The 15,024-nt window shown below is 43.0% G+C and overlaps 1 long non-coding RNA gene across 1 annotated transcript in view, besides 2 other annotated features; it reads left to right on the forward strand.

Moving 5' to 3' along the window:
- The window catches only part of IGFBP7-AS1 (IGFBP7 antisense RNA 1), a 95,538-nt gene that overhangs the window by 37,627 nt on the left and 42,887 nt on the right, over positions 1 to 15,024 (forward strand). The gene's annotated exons all lie outside the window — the stretch shown is intronic.
- Positions 9,403 to 9,912: an enhancer, noted in NCBI's record as "H3K4me1 hESC enhancer chr4:58022957-58023466 (GRCh37/hg19 assembly coordinates)". NCBI's record gives its function as "activates a minimal SCP1, AML or CMV promoter by ChIP-STARR-seq in primed H9 embryonic stem cells {active_cell/tissue: H9 hESC(primed)}" and the evidence as "EXISTENCE:reporter gene assay evidence [ECO:0000049][PMID:30033119]".
- Positions 9,913 to 10,421: an enhancer, noted in NCBI's record as "H3K4me1 hESC enhancer chr4:58023467-58023975 (GRCh37/hg19 assembly coordinates)". NCBI's record gives its function as "activates a minimal SCP1, AML or CMV promoter by ChIP-STARR-seq in primed H9 embryonic stem cells {active_cell/tissue: H9 hESC(primed)}" and the evidence as "EXISTENCE:reporter gene assay evidence [ECO:0000049][PMID:30033119]".

Below are 15,024 nucleotides of genomic sequence, written 5' to 3' on the forward strand. Positions count from 1 at the left end.
GCTCTGGGTCATTATAGAATTCATTTAGAGAAGAAGAATTTCAGTTAGTAGCCTTCCTGAAAAGAGATGATAAAGAGGCCAGGATTACGCCCAGGGTCTAAGTACCGGCTGAGTATGAGGAAATTGACTCTCCTCCAACTCTGGGGTAGAAGAAACATGATTGGATCAGAGGGAGAGAGATGATTGAGTCATTAGTTAGGCAAAGCAAGAGCTGACGACAATGATAAAGCACTAATGCATCCAAGAGATTTTTTTTCCCCACTCTAGTGGCAATTTTTTACACTTTAAAAAAAGAAAGTGAAGTCGACTGATTTGTCTTGCTGACTTTAGAAAGCATTTAAAAATCTTTTAATGACACTCGATTATGTTAAACGGTACATTTCTCCTCTTTAATTTCTGCTTGCCTCAAGTGTGTCCACCCACTTGTCCTAGTTTCCCTGATTAGGCACCTGGTGGCAACCAATGATGTGAGTTACAGGAATGAAAAGGCATAAAAACCTACTTTAGGTTTTACTGAAGTTCCAGGAGGCTGGGCGTGGAGGCTCCCACCTGTAATCCCAGCACCCTGGGAGGCTGAGGTGGGAGGATCGCTTGAGCTCAGGAGTTTGAGATCAGCCTGGGCAACATAGTGAGACTGTCTCTACAAGAAATAAAAAAATTAGCCGGTGTGATGGTGCACTTGTGTAGTCCCAGCTATTCGAGAAGCTGAGGTGGGGAGGATAACTTGAGCCCAGGAGTTCAAGGCTGCAGTGAGCTATGATTCAGCCACTGTACTCCAGCCTGGGCAAAAGAGTGAGACTCTGTCTCTAGAAAAAAAGGTTCCAAGAATGTCATGGGGAATTTTATCACTTCTATTCTCTGGACATTTCACTGGGACTAATTTCTCTCATAAATTGGATGGGTGTTTTCCTTGAACAGATTCTGGACTAAATTGGGAAGTGGTACCTAAGTGCCTTCTTTGCCTCTTTTCTGTGACTCATTTCCTGCTCTTCATGTCTCTCTCCAATCTGGATGTTTCATATTCTCATAAAGGCTTGTGCTCAGTGCCTGTCAACTTAGAAGACACCTCCGCTAATGTGGAGATAATAGCTAGCCCTCTAAGAGCTTAGCTTCTGGGATTCTTACAAGGGCCATTCAGAGACCTCACTTTGATTGAACTCAAATGAAACAATGTTTTTTTTTTTTTGGAGACAGGGTCTCACTTTGTCACCTAGGCTGGAGCACAGTGGCACAAATATACCTCGCTATGATCTCGAACTCCTGGGCTCTAGCGATCCTCCTGCCTCATCCTCCTGTGTGGCTGGAACTACAGGCATGCATCATCATGTCCAGCTAATTTTTTTCTTTTTATTTTTATAGAGACAGGGTCTTGCTATGTTGACCCTGGTCTCAAACTCCTGGCTTCAAGTGTTCCTCCTGCCTCAGCCTCCCAGGTCCTGGGATTATAGGCACAATCCACTGTGCCTGGCCTGAAACAAATCTTTAATGGTAAAATTTTAGGTATCATAATAGGTTGCTGGAGAAGTGTTCTGGATTAAGGAAACTTTGGGAGTCCTTTGAATTCTACCCTGTGAGAAGCTTCACACACTTAGAATTTCTGAGCTCACCAGACTCTGATGTCCTAGTTGCTAGGAGTTTAGAGTAACATGAAGCTGACACTTGGACACTGTTCTTTTCCTCTGTTAATCATCTATGACTAACCAACCACATTCTGCAGGACTTAAAAGTATTCTAGTAGCCAAATTAGCTAGTAGTCCTTAATGCTTTTAAGCATCAGAAAGTGAAAAATATCAAAGAACTATTGCTGCATTTGAGGAGCTAGAATGAAGTTTGGTTTGGCTTGAGGAGAATTGATGACACCCAGGAGTATGTGCTGGTTTCCATTTGGTTCCCATTCACAGGCAAACGGAAAGTACATACAGCCTGGGGTAGGTCAGGCCAGCAGATATTTAAGTTGTTCAGTAGTGGCTGGGCCTGGGAATATGGGGTGATTTTGAAGAATTAAGTTCTGCAAAAGATTCAAGAGTACAAAGCTGTCTTCATCTTAGTCAAATGCAGGCAATCAATCTGTCCTTTGCATGTAATAAACTGGGACCTTAGAAGTGAAGATTAAATAATCTGGGATGGAAAATTGGTTGGAGAAGGTCCAGCCTGACCTACATGTAGACATTTCTCCTGCCTTGTCTTGTCTCTTGCTACAAATCATCCTGCAAGGATTAGGTAACAGCAACTTCAATTCACACACCTTTGAAGGATGGTGACTTCAGCATTATCCACGGTGAAATTCACAGCCAACAATCAATACGTATTTTCAGGCAAAGAACCATTATTCATTTCTGTTATCGGACAATCTCAGGCAGAAATCATATCTTTTGTGACTGGAATGCACAGCATTTTCAACTGCTTTATTACTGCAGCTGAGAATAGGGCTTTGCGCTGACTGGCATTTAGCTGCTGAAGTTTTCTGGACTGGCATTTGCATTGGGGTATCCAGGACAAGTGTGGGTTTTGAAGGGAAGGGAACGAGGGGGAGAAGAAGGAAAGAAAGAGCCGTCTGCAGGTAAAGGCCATTTTTGTTAGCTTGAAGCAGCATGATTTGTTATCATTGACACTGAGTGCAATGTTGATTTAACTTTTGCACTGGGGGTATTGACTTTACATTGAAAAGACAGACACCAACCATTGTCTGACAATGACCAACACAATCAGAATTTCAGACCTAGCATGATGTAGAGGAGGAAAGTCTGCCAGAAGACAAAGGATCTTGTCCTGGTTCTTTGAAGAATTAGTTGTGTGAAGCTAGCCAAGTTGCTTTACCTCTTTGGGCATCAGTTTTTGCATCTGTAAGAAGATGTAGAATACTTGACTTATGTTCCCTTCCAGCTCTGAGAGGCTTTGACTCTATGATTGGGGTTCTGTTTTACTCTTCATTAACATCATAAATTCATAAAATGAGGGAGATTGCTAAAAAATATAAACACAAATATGCCTTAATCCACTTATTGAAGTGCCAACTGCTGGCTGATTTTTATTTTCAAAATCATCTATTAAGAAGGGAATATGATGAAGCCATTACTTAGAAGTTAACTAGTTTCCTACACACTTTTCAGATCGTGGTAATGATATTCACCAACATTTGTATAGTTCTCTAAAGTGTGCAGAAGATTCCACATGCACCGTCTCATTTTCTTCTTCCTTAATCTATAACTCTCAGTTTTGTAGTGCAGCTGAGGAGGGAGATGAAAACACTGTTTACATTTTTTACATCGGTTTACATTTTTTTTGGCAAAAAAGTTGTGTTTTGTCTGAAGAATGGGTTTATTAATCCAGCAGTGTTCATTGAGCCTCTATGAAGTGTCAAGACCTGTGCTATAGATGAGGAGATCAGGATAGACATGGTGCTACCCTTGTGGAGTTCACAGTGCAGTAACAAGAACATAATCAACACATGATTGGATAAATTAGAGAGTGGTGAGAATTTTGTTGCTTCATGGAAACTGGGTTGTCCAGGAGTGGTGATAGAACAAGGGTACTATAACCTTCCCATGGCTGGAAGGAACACAGTGCTCACTCCTCCTCTGCAAATGCTGTTTGGGGATGTAAGTTGGCCATCTCAGGTCAATTTTCAGGGGTTGCATCAGCCCGGCACACGAGGCCCCACTGATTTTGGTTTGAGATGCCCTTCCAATCGAAAGCCCATTTTCCTGTTTCACAGAATGAAAGCAAATACTCTTAATGGGGCCGTTGGGCTTCAAGTCTGTGCCAAACAATTGGCTTTCCCAGCACTTTCATAACCACGCAGCTCTGGATTTTTCAGGAGCCCGTGCAAGACTAGTTTGTTGTATAAAACGCATCCAAGAATTTTTCCTCATAGCACTGAATGGTAACTTGGTGGCACTGGCTTTGCCCCACATTGTGCTAAAATCCATGGGTTCACTCTCTCTTTTTTTTTTGAGACGGAGTCTTGTTCTGTCACCCAGGCTGGAGTGCAGTGGCATGCTCTCGGCTCACTGCAACCTCTGCCTCCAGGGTTCAAGCAATTCTCCTGCCTCAGCCTCCTGAGTAGCTGGGATTACAGGCACATGCCACCACACCCGGTTTATTTTTGTATTTTTAGTAGAGACAGGGTTTTACCCTGTTGGCCAGGATAGTCTTGAAATCCTGACCTCAGGTGATCCGCTCACCTTGGCCTCCCAAAATGCTTGGAATATAGGCATGAGTCACCACACCCGGCTGGGTTCACTCTTAAGAGATGAATTCATCCTGTCGTTCATTATGGCCAAGTCTTCACAATAGGAGGCGGGGCACAGTGACTCTAGGGTGTGTGTGGATAGGCTGCCCAGTGTTGTGTTTACATTGAGGCTCATCTGCGATTCCCCGTGCCTGGCATACAGCCTAGCATACAGTAGGTGCTGATTACACGCTTGCTTATCCAAAACACTACTCAAATGTATTGCTTTTTACTGTTTTTTCTTTTGTCCATTTTTTTTGTTAATTACCAAAATAATTTATATTTAATTTTTTTTATTTCAATAGATTTTTGGGGAACAGACATGAATAAGTTTTTTAGTGGTGATTTCTGAGATATTGATGCACCCATCACCCCAGCAATGTACACTGTACCCAATGTGTGGTCTTTTATCGCTCACCCCCTCCTACCCTTTCCCCTGAGTTCCTACAGTCTATTGTATCATTCTTATGCCAAAGTAATTTATGTTTGAGGTAAAAAAAATTAACCATATAAAAATGATTTAAAAGTGAATGGTCCTTCATCCCCTTCCACAGAAATTACCACTGTAAACCATTTGATCCTTTTAGACCTTTTCAACACATGCATGCATTCATTCTTCTCACTTCAAAAATAGTATTTAAAACACAGCTTGAAACTGGTTATTTTTACTTATCAACAAAAATCTGACTTTTTTCATCTCAGTTATATTGATCTATCTGAATCGTTTCACAATGCTTCATGGCATAATGCAACATAATTTGTGAATAAGTTTTTCTATTGAATGACACTAGTTGTTTCCAATCCTTTCCCAAAGGATCGTTTGTCAAAATGCTTTAATGAATTTCTTGATTGTATACATATATTTTGATAATTGTGAGAGCATTTCTTCAGAATATATTTCTGGAAGTAAAATTGTTAGGGCAAGAATTATGCATAAGAAACTCTTTTTGTAGACACTGATAAATTGCCTATTAAATGCTGTATGAATTTCTACTTTAAAATGTTTTTGGTGTTAGTGATAAGAAAGTCAACCCAGTGCAGAAAGGAAATTTAATGGACCTTGTACTGAAAGGTTCAGAGTGTAGCTGGTTTCAGGCTTGGTTTGATACAGGCTCAGAAATGATGTCATCTGGCTCCAGGTTCTCTCTCCTGGCCTCTCAGCTCTTATTCCTCTTTGGTGGCTTCATCTCAAACAAGTTTCCCTCATAGTCTTAAAACATCTCTGGCTGGGTACTGTGGCTCATGCCTCTAATTCCAGAACTTTGGGAGGCTGAGGCAGGAGGATTGCCTATGCCCAGGAGTTTGAGACTAGCCTGGGCAATATAGCGAGACCCTGTCTTTGCAAAAAATTAACAAAAAATTTAGCCAGGCATGGTGGTATGCACTTGTAGTCCTAGCTTCTCAGGAGGCTGAGGCAAGAGGATCACTTGAGCCCAGGAGGTCAAGGCTGCAGTGAGCTGTGATTATGCCACTGCATTCCAGCCTGGGAGACAGAGTGAACCTTGTCTCAAAAAGCAAACGAACAAACAAACAAAAATCAAAACTCCCCAAAACCTCCAAAACCCAAACCAAACCAAAAGCAAAAAACAAAACAGCTGTGGAACTCTAGGCTTCATCATTTCAGGTTTTAGCTCAGTGAATACAGGTTTATTTCCCAGAAGTTCCAGTCAGTGTCTCATTTGATTTGATTGGTCACGTGTTCGTCTCTGAACCACGTAGAGTGTCCAGGGCCATGAAGGCTTTTGTTGGCCCAGCCTGGAGCTGGGTGTAGAGTCAGCTGCACCAGAACTACATGGGCTGAGAGCAGGGCAGGATGGCTCACCAATGAAAGTTGGTAGCTATTTCTGGAGGCAGGGTCAGTGTGTAGAGTGTGAAGTCAATAAAGGTGGATGGAGTACTGTGGAGACAGATTCTTTCCTGTGGACTTATGAGTGTAAGTTCAGTTTTATCTTGGTCTTTGGGAAAGCTGTCACTGAGGATCAATTTGGTGATATGACTTAATGACATTCCTTACACCGCTAACTGGGACGACAATTATGTACTGCTGAAGTGTGTTTAAGGGTTATCCTTAGATAAGATTGGATTTATAGCTGAAAAAGAAACACAGTCCCTTTAAAAGAAGGAACAGATGAATTAAAGAACAAAAACATCTTAATGGTTTTGTTAAGATTGCTATGGAAATAACTGAATGCAAATTTCATTTTAAGTCTCTTGAAGTTAGCAATCTATTGAGAGGAGAGAAGTTTGCAGCAGGATTTTTTTTTTTTTTTTTAGAGAGAGAGAGAGAAGGAGGAGGAGGAGGGAGAGGAAGAAGACTTAAAGTTGGGGCAAAAACTCTTATGGTTAGGGCAAAAAGAGTTTGAGGTTTTTTAATCTGGAAGAGACCTGTAAGATTGTTTAGGCCTATGGTTCTCAAATTTGAGTGAGAATCACCTGGAAATGTTCTTAAAACACAGATTTCTGGGGTGCATCCTAGAGATTCTTCCTTAGTTGGTCTGGGAAAGGGTCAAATATTAACATTTCTGATAAATTCCCCAGTGATCCTCATGCCAACATTGTGGTGGTGAAACTGGTCGAATTTTCCCATAGAACTGATATTTACAGGTTTTTTTTTTTTTTTTTTTAAACAAATGTAGAAATTGACCCTCCGGGGTTTTAAAACTTGAAATTTTCGTTTGCCTCATCTGGGTTGCTTCCTCAGGAAATGAGCCCTCAGGCAAGAGACTAAAAGTCACCAGATCACTGCAACTGGATAATGACAGCCAGACCCTTCATTTGTCATGATTGCTTGTTTATCCTGCCCTAATTCCTTCCCGCCTATAGCTACATTCCTTCTACCAGTACAGAAACCCCCCAGTTTTAGTTGGCCAGGGAGACAGATTTGAGGCTTTGTTTCCTGTTCTCCTTGGCTGCTGAGCCAAGTGAAAGCCTTCTTCTTTGGTAATAGTCATTGTCTCAGTGATTGGCATTCTGCGTGGTGAACAGCAGGACCTAGACTGACCTTTGGCATTGGGGTAACAGTGGCTGATGCTACTGGTGGAGGAACCACACCTTGAGAAGCACTGATCTAGGCACCTTCCACTCCTCTCAGTCTATAGATGGGAAAATGGAAACTCGGAGAGGTGAGGGGCTGGCTCGCGGTGACTCTGGGAGAAAGCAGAGGAGCTGGGGCTAGAATCACCTCTCCTGGCTGCTTCCCTGCCCTCCCCTTCTCCCCTCTTCTCTTTCCTCTCCCTGCCCGCCCCTTCCCTTGCCTCCTCCTCTCTCCCCCATTTTCCTCCCCTCCTCTCTCTCTTTCCCTTTCCTTCCTTCTGTAAAGGAACTGACCCCTGGTCTGGTTAATGTCAAGGTTACAGAGTAGAGTCAGGAAAGAACCCAAACCTCTTGACTTCCAGGTTGGTGCTTACCCCACGTCTCAAGTTTCCTGCTCCTGGAGAAGCAAGACACCAGGAGATTATGGGGTTTCCCTCTCAGTAGCTGGATCTTTCTGAAAGTGTTTTTCTTTGAAGGTGAGAACAAAGACAGCCTGCATTATTAGGCAGGATGTCCCTGAGACACATGACAGAGGGAGGCTGTCAGCAGTAACAAAGAGGCTCTCTGGTTTGGGAAAAAAAGGTGCTTGTAGTTGTTGTGGGAGACGAAAAAGCGTTTCTTTGACTTTCTTATATTTAGTACCTGGGGGCCTTCAAATTAAACTAACAAAGACAGATTAACAGCAGGAAAAGAAAAGCATACAGTTTTATTCGTATTTTACGTGCATGGGAGTTCACAGAAAAGAAGTGAAACTCAAAGAAGTGGTTAGTTAGGCTCCAGGGCTAATATCGCATTTTAACAAAAGAAAGGGGGTTTAGGCTTCAGAGGATGAGACAGGGTAGGGAAGTGACTGAAAAATATATGGGAGAACTAATGGAAGATAAAACCTTATTTTAGTGGGGTCTGTTTTTGCAGACTCCTCTTGGTGTCAACTCTCTGTCTCTGGTGATGACTGCTTTTGCTCCCCGGTATTGGGGTGAAGGGTGGGACACTTTCACAAAGGGAAATTTACACCCTGCTTTTAGGCAGACAAGAGGAGGGCAGAGAACTCTTCCTGCATCTGTTGATTCTCAATTGCCTTCAGCTCAAAATAATCCTTATGCCAAAGTGGCACGTTTTGAAGCGGCATATTCTGGATCTCTTCATTGGATGGAGGATTCACAGACTTGCCAACATCAAGGGTGGTGAAATGTAGATGCATGCTAAAGCAGTGTCCCAGTGTCACAGGGTGAGGGAATCAGGGCCATGCTCATCCAGCCCAGGGGAAGCTAAGCTTAGATTAAAGGGACTTATTTAAGAGCCTAGTAAAATTAAATTTCAAATGATTTTTATTAAAAAACTTACCTTAATTGTGTATTATATTTTAGAGTCTAGTATTTACTGATGTTGCTTAATGAATAACTCTATTTTGGCTTTTAGAAAATATCTGTGTTATCCATACCTATGTAAAGGATAGTTATTTTTACCACTAGATAATTAGTAAGTGACTATTATCTACCTTATCTTATCCCAATTACAGGCAACATAACTAGGAAGAAATAAATGGCTTCGGGCATGCTGGACTTGCGAACACAAATTTATGAAGTGACAGCTAGTGTCATGATGCTCCTGCCTCAAGATGACCTCCCAACCCAGAGCCCGGCTGCTTGGGTGAAACATTTTCCCCTCCCTGAATTGTCTTGCAAAATGTAAACACACATTGTCACTCCGAAGGAGTTAGTTTATCAGATTTCTTCCCTTGGTGATAGGAGGGATCTAGGGCAGGCTGAGCAGGGAGGTGAGGTGGAGGATGACAGAAGCACAGACAGGGATGCCTGGGGCTTGTGACTCACCCACAGGAGTACAGCAAGTGCATGTGAGACGCTTCTCAGGATTTATATGTTAGCTTTTCTCCCCAATTTTGGAAGGCAAGGAATTGTAGTCAGCAATCGGCCAGGTGAGGGGAGTATTTTTGGTGCAAGGGACTGTCCAAGGGATACTGACTGCAGTGTCCTCCCATCTTCACTGTTTTCTTAAAGGGACTCACTCCTTCCCTGATTTTCTGGTGTCCTCCAGGTTCATCAGCAGTTATTTGGATGGTCTTCTGATGTGCAAGCCCAGCGTGGTAGGATGTGGTAGAAAGGGCGTATCACACACTGATGCTGCATCAGCTCAGTTTAACCTCAGTTCTACTGCCATGTGACCCGAGGGCCAGTTATAAACCCTCTTAGAGCTTTGGTTTCCTTAGATGCAAAAGGGGACAAATTTATATATATGTACACACACATATATACACACATATATATGCACACACATATATATATATATAAAAAATATATTAGTGCAGATTAAGGGGGTAACATGTAAAGTATCTGGTACAATAAAATCTAGGCCATTGCAGTGTAGGTTTTTGGAAGCTGATGCTGAGATGGAGTTTGGGTTGCAAGACATTTATTAGGGATCAGCTCCTGCGCTTAGAAACGGGGGGAAGCAAGAACTGGGCAGAGGGACAGGTTGAGCTGTAATGTGGGCCCCGGAGAGCCTTGGCCAACCCGAGGAGCCCTGCAGTGAGTATTGTCCATCTGCATTGTCCCATGAGGGGCTGAGATGGCCAGCCCTTAGAGCCTTGCTTCACTCAGTCACCAGACCTGGCTCCCTGAGAAGGAGGTGTTCTAGGGTGAGGCAACTCCAGCTGCAGAGGCAGCCCCTGAGCTGCTGTCAGAGGCTGCCTGCTCTGGCCACCTCCTGCAGCTGCACAGCAAGTGCTTCCTGAAGGATGGTCTGGGTGGCTCATTTTCATGCCTACCACATAGGCATCCAACAGACATGTCTCCTCCCTGCTGCCAGAACTATCCTCTTTTTTTTTTAACCTTTTCTCCACCTTCTTTCTGTTCTCCATCTGTCCTCTTCTCTTGCACCTGCTTCTTCCATCCATCCTCTCCACAGTCCTGGGAGCTTGTGGCTCCTCTGCAGGGGCCCTAGAAGTGGTGCGTGCCTTTGCTACTCTCTCTGCCAGTCCCACTGCAGCAGGAAGCATCCGACACATTTTTGTCTCACGCAGATAATGTACAAGTTACCCATGACTTCTCTTTTACTTTGGTAGAGGGAAGAAAAGAACCAGGCTTTATTCTGCAGAATAAAACAACACAGATGCTGGTGAATGCACTGTCAGCCCATGCCTGCCAGCTGGGACCAACAATAGGAGAGGAGGCACTGGCTGCATCGCTAACAGATTTCCAAGAACGCTATGGGCAGCCAAAAAAGCCATTTGGGCTTGTTTCTTTTTCCTCTGTTGCCTTTCTGAGAGATAAAGAGGCTGATGGATCATAAATGGAGATATGAATTTGATAACATTTGGAAAGAGGTTAATGGAAACCAACGTACAAACTACAGAATAGGAGAACACGGCAGATTTCTAAATGCCAATAGCATTTAGAAGCTGCTCTTAAAGAAAATTTGAAGGTGAGCAGGCGGTGGGCAGAGGATCTGAAGCAGCTGCAAGGGCCTCACATGAGTTTGGAAATGTCTTCCTAATGTGATGGATCCTGGCATCATTCCACGCAGACGCCAGGTAGGTGTCCCTGTCCACAGCTCTCTGAGCTCCTGGGATAATTTCAAAACAGCAGAGAGTGAGGGCATGTGCATCATTTGAGCACATCATAGAGGGCACCACTGATTCGCTGCACTGGAAGTTTGTTTGCTCTATGTGAAATCTCTTATGTCTGGCCTAGAAGCCTGCATCAAGGAACTGGGAAACACCACCGGCTCCCTCTGTGAGTGGCAACCATGAAATCCACCCTCCAGTGGCCTCTTGTGGACTGTGGACTAACTTCCTTCAGGGGTCCCAGGAAGTCCTAGGGAAGTGGAAACTCCCTTCCATATCCCACTTCAAGACTCAGCCATTGTGCAGAAGAGGCCAATAGCAAGACCCCAATTTAGTTCCATGCCTGAGGAGTTCAGCCTAAAATCCTGAAGTTGCACAGGGTTTTACTGTCTTATTCCATTCTCTCAACAATGCTGTTTCATTCGCGAGGACAATGGCACTTGGAGAGATTGAGTGACTTCCTCAGGTCTCACCAATTGTAAGGAGCAGGGTAGGTCCTGAATTCTGGCCTCTTCTGGATCCACAGGGTTCTGGTGCATGGTTATCCTGGTTCTGATTTTTCTCAAATCAGAGAAGACAAGGGGACAAAGACATTTAATCCCACGGAACCTCATGTCAGTCTCACTAAGTAACCAGGGCTTCAGAGGATGCCACTAGTCCTTGCTTGCAAGTAGTCAGGCATTATGCTGCTGCCTGCTAGACTGTGTTGGCCACTAGCCACACTTGGCTACTGAGCCCTTGAAATGTGGCCAGTCTAAACTGAGATGTGTGTGTGAACTTCAAAGGCTTTAAAAAAGAAGGTAAGGCTGGGTGCAGTGGCTCACACCTGTAATCCCAACAATTTAGGAAGCCAAGGAGGGAGGATTGCTTGAGCCCAGACATTTAAGACCAGGCTGGGCAACATAGTAGGACCCTGTCTTTACATTAAAAAAAAAAAAGAAAAGAAAGGAAAAAAGGAGGTAGATACCTCATTAATAATTTTGTATTGACTATATGTTGAAATAATATTTTTGATATGTTGGGTGAAATACTTACATTTAAAAACTATAATTTATATTTATAATAATGTAAAATATAATAAAAATTTATTTTACCTACCTTCTTAATTTTAACAATTGTGCCTACTAGAAAATATAAAATACCCATGTGGTTTGCATTACATTTCTATTGGATTACTCTAGATTCATCTGCATCCCTAAATGTCTTTAGTCTATTTTTAGCTTCTGCTTCTTCACTCTATATCACTGTTACTGGTAGCGAGCGACTGGGTAGGTCATCTGCTTTAGACTTTGAAATTTAAGAGGCAGTTCACAGAATGACGGCTATTTCACACTCAGGTGAGCATGGTCATAATTGGGTGCTCATAGGGGACTTGGCGGTTTAATGTCAATGAAGAAGCCTCCTAGGGGTGATGCCTCATTCATTCAACAAATATTTATGTTAACAGCTTCTTTATGATGGATGATTATGCTAGGTTCTGGGACTATGTCTGGGAGCAAGAAATAGTCACAGGCATTGGGGAGCTTATCATCTGGCAGGGGCAGTAGACATTGTGATGGTTAATTTTGTGTGTCCACTTGACTGGCTACAGGGTGCCTAGGCATTTGGTCAAACATTTTTCTGGGTGTGTCTGTGAGGGTGATTTTGGATGAGATTAAAATTTGAATTGATAGACTGAGCAAAGCAGACTCTCCTCCCTAAACGTGTGTGGTGCTTGTCCAATTGGTTGAAGGCCTGAAGACAACAAAAAAACTGACTAAGAGGGAACTTCCTTGGCCTGACTGCTTGAGTTGCAACATCAATCTTCTACCCTTGGGCTGTGACTTACACCATTGGCTCTCCTGGTTCTCAGGCCTTTGGATTCAGACTGGAATCACTCCAGCAGCTCTCCTAGGTCTTTAGCATGGCAACTGCAAATCTTGAGATTTCTCAGCCTCTATAGTTATTGATATGATTTGGCTCTGTGTCCCCATCCAAATCTCATCTCAAATCATAATCCCCACATGTCAAGGGAGGGATGTGATTAGACATGGGGGCGGTTCCCCCATGCTGTTCTTGTGATAGTGAGTGAGTTCTCATGAGATCTGATGGTTTTATAAGTGTCTGGCATTTCCCCTGCTGAAACTTCTCTCTTCTGCCGCCATGTGAAGAAGGTCCTTGCTTCCCCTTCCACCATGATTGTAAGATTCCTAAGGCCTCCCAGCCGCGTGGAACTGTGAGTCAATTAAACCTCTTTCCTTTATAAATTACCCAGTCTCAGGTATTTCCTTATCGTGGTATGAGAACGGATTAATACAGTTGTGTAAGCCAGCTCCTTATAATAAATCTCTCTCCCTCTCTCTGCCTCTCATCTATGTATGTATGTATCTGTCATCTATCTCCTATAAGTTGTTTCTTTTGAGAACTCTGACTAACATAGACATTAAATAAACAATTTGTATACTGAATAATTATATAACTACTGCTTGGGGGTGTGGTTGTGTTGTGTGGTGAGGGGGTGTAGAAATGTCTAGGGGTTGATCAACCCTAACACCTTCCAGATGACCCTAGGTTCTGGCCTTTCCCCAAAGAGTCCTGGTCTACTCAGTCATCTCCCACAATTTGGCCATCTTCTTGGGTCCTCAGGACAATAAATGACCCAGCCAGATCTCTACCCTAAGTCTGACTTAGGATGGAAAAATGTCTCCTTATGCCTTTATCAGTCTTGACTTCAGGTCAGGGAGGCCAGAAAAATGAAATCTGCTCTATTTTGAAAGTTTCCTTCATTTCCTTTTTATGATTTAAATTTATTTTTATAAAGTGAATTGATGAAAACAAACACCTTTAACACCTCTACCCCTCGGTATTCTACAGATTTCCTGTAGTTTTGACAGTGAAACAAAAAACGTCATAATTCTTCACATACTTCAATACTATTCTTGCAGTTCTAGTCTTGCATTACTGGTGGAGAGTCTGGGGGTTGGAGATGGGGGTTACATTGTAAGGGAAAGCACATAGTTTGGATGTGGTGAGAGTATAATGAGATTAGCGTGCATGTCCAGCTGTCTATCCACTGTCTATCTAACCATGGGTAAGTTATTCAAAGTTACCTCACTACAGCTTCCTTGTTTAGCCAGTGGGGCTCATACCACATACCTGGTGGGTTTCTGGAAGAATTAGAGATAAAGTGTAGAAAGCACCTAGCACCACTCTGGCATATAATGGATACCCAGTAAGTGGTCTCTATTGATATTTTTCCTTGTTCCTTGGCCCTAGACTGGTCAGGTTGTCAGAGGAACAGAATTTGACCACTTAATTAGAACAATGTTTCAGTAATATATGACTGCATAACATACAATTCCAAACTTCGGATCGTAACATATTATTATGCACATAAATCCTATGGGTCAGAAATTTGGGCAGTGCATGCAGGGGTGACTGTCTGTGCTCCACCATGTCTGGGTTCTCAGTAGGAAGGCTTGAATGGTTGAGGCCTGGAATCATCTAGAGGCTTCTTCACATACATCTAGCTGGGATGACTCAAAGGCTGGGATCAGTTGGGACCACTGAACAAAGCACCTGTACCCAGCCTCACCACATGGCTTGGGAATCTTACAACAGTGCAACTGAGCTGTGAGAGGGGGAGTCTTGAAAAGGGGTGTCTGAAAGTGAGCATTCTAAAGGAGCAAGGCAGAGGTTGCAAGGTTTCTTTGATCTTGCCTTGGAAGCCACACAGTGTCATGTATTCTGCTTCTCTTGTGACAGGTGAATTACCAAAGTTAGCGTAGATTCAAGCTGAGAGCAACTAGATTCTAGCAGCAAGGCCACATTGCAGAAGAGCATGTAGGATGGAAGATATTATTAAGGGCATCTTTGAAAAATGGCATCAGCTACAAAGAACAACCTACATTAGACTCCTTTAGACTTGTTTGTTGGGCTTCTCAAAAGGAAACAGTGGAGCCCAGGAGTTTGAGATCAGCCTGAGCAGCATAGTGAGACCCCCATCTCAATTATATATAAAAAAAGGAACAGGGCACTGTGCAGTTCCCTTCTCAAAGGGAACAATCACATTGCTTATGTCAATGTATCTTCAGAGAACAAGTTTCAGCAACATTGTTGAAATTTGCCTGAGGTAACACTGTAAGTTGATAGTGAATTAGACCCTGAAATTTCAGATATTGACTATATTCAAAATTAC

Source organism: Homo sapiens, chromosome 4 (genome assembly GCF_000001405.40).
Source record: "Homo sapiens chromosome 4, GRCh38.p14 Primary Assembly".
Classification (NCBI taxonomy): Eukaryota; Metazoa; Chordata; class Mammalia; order Primates; family Hominidae; genus Homo; species Homo sapiens.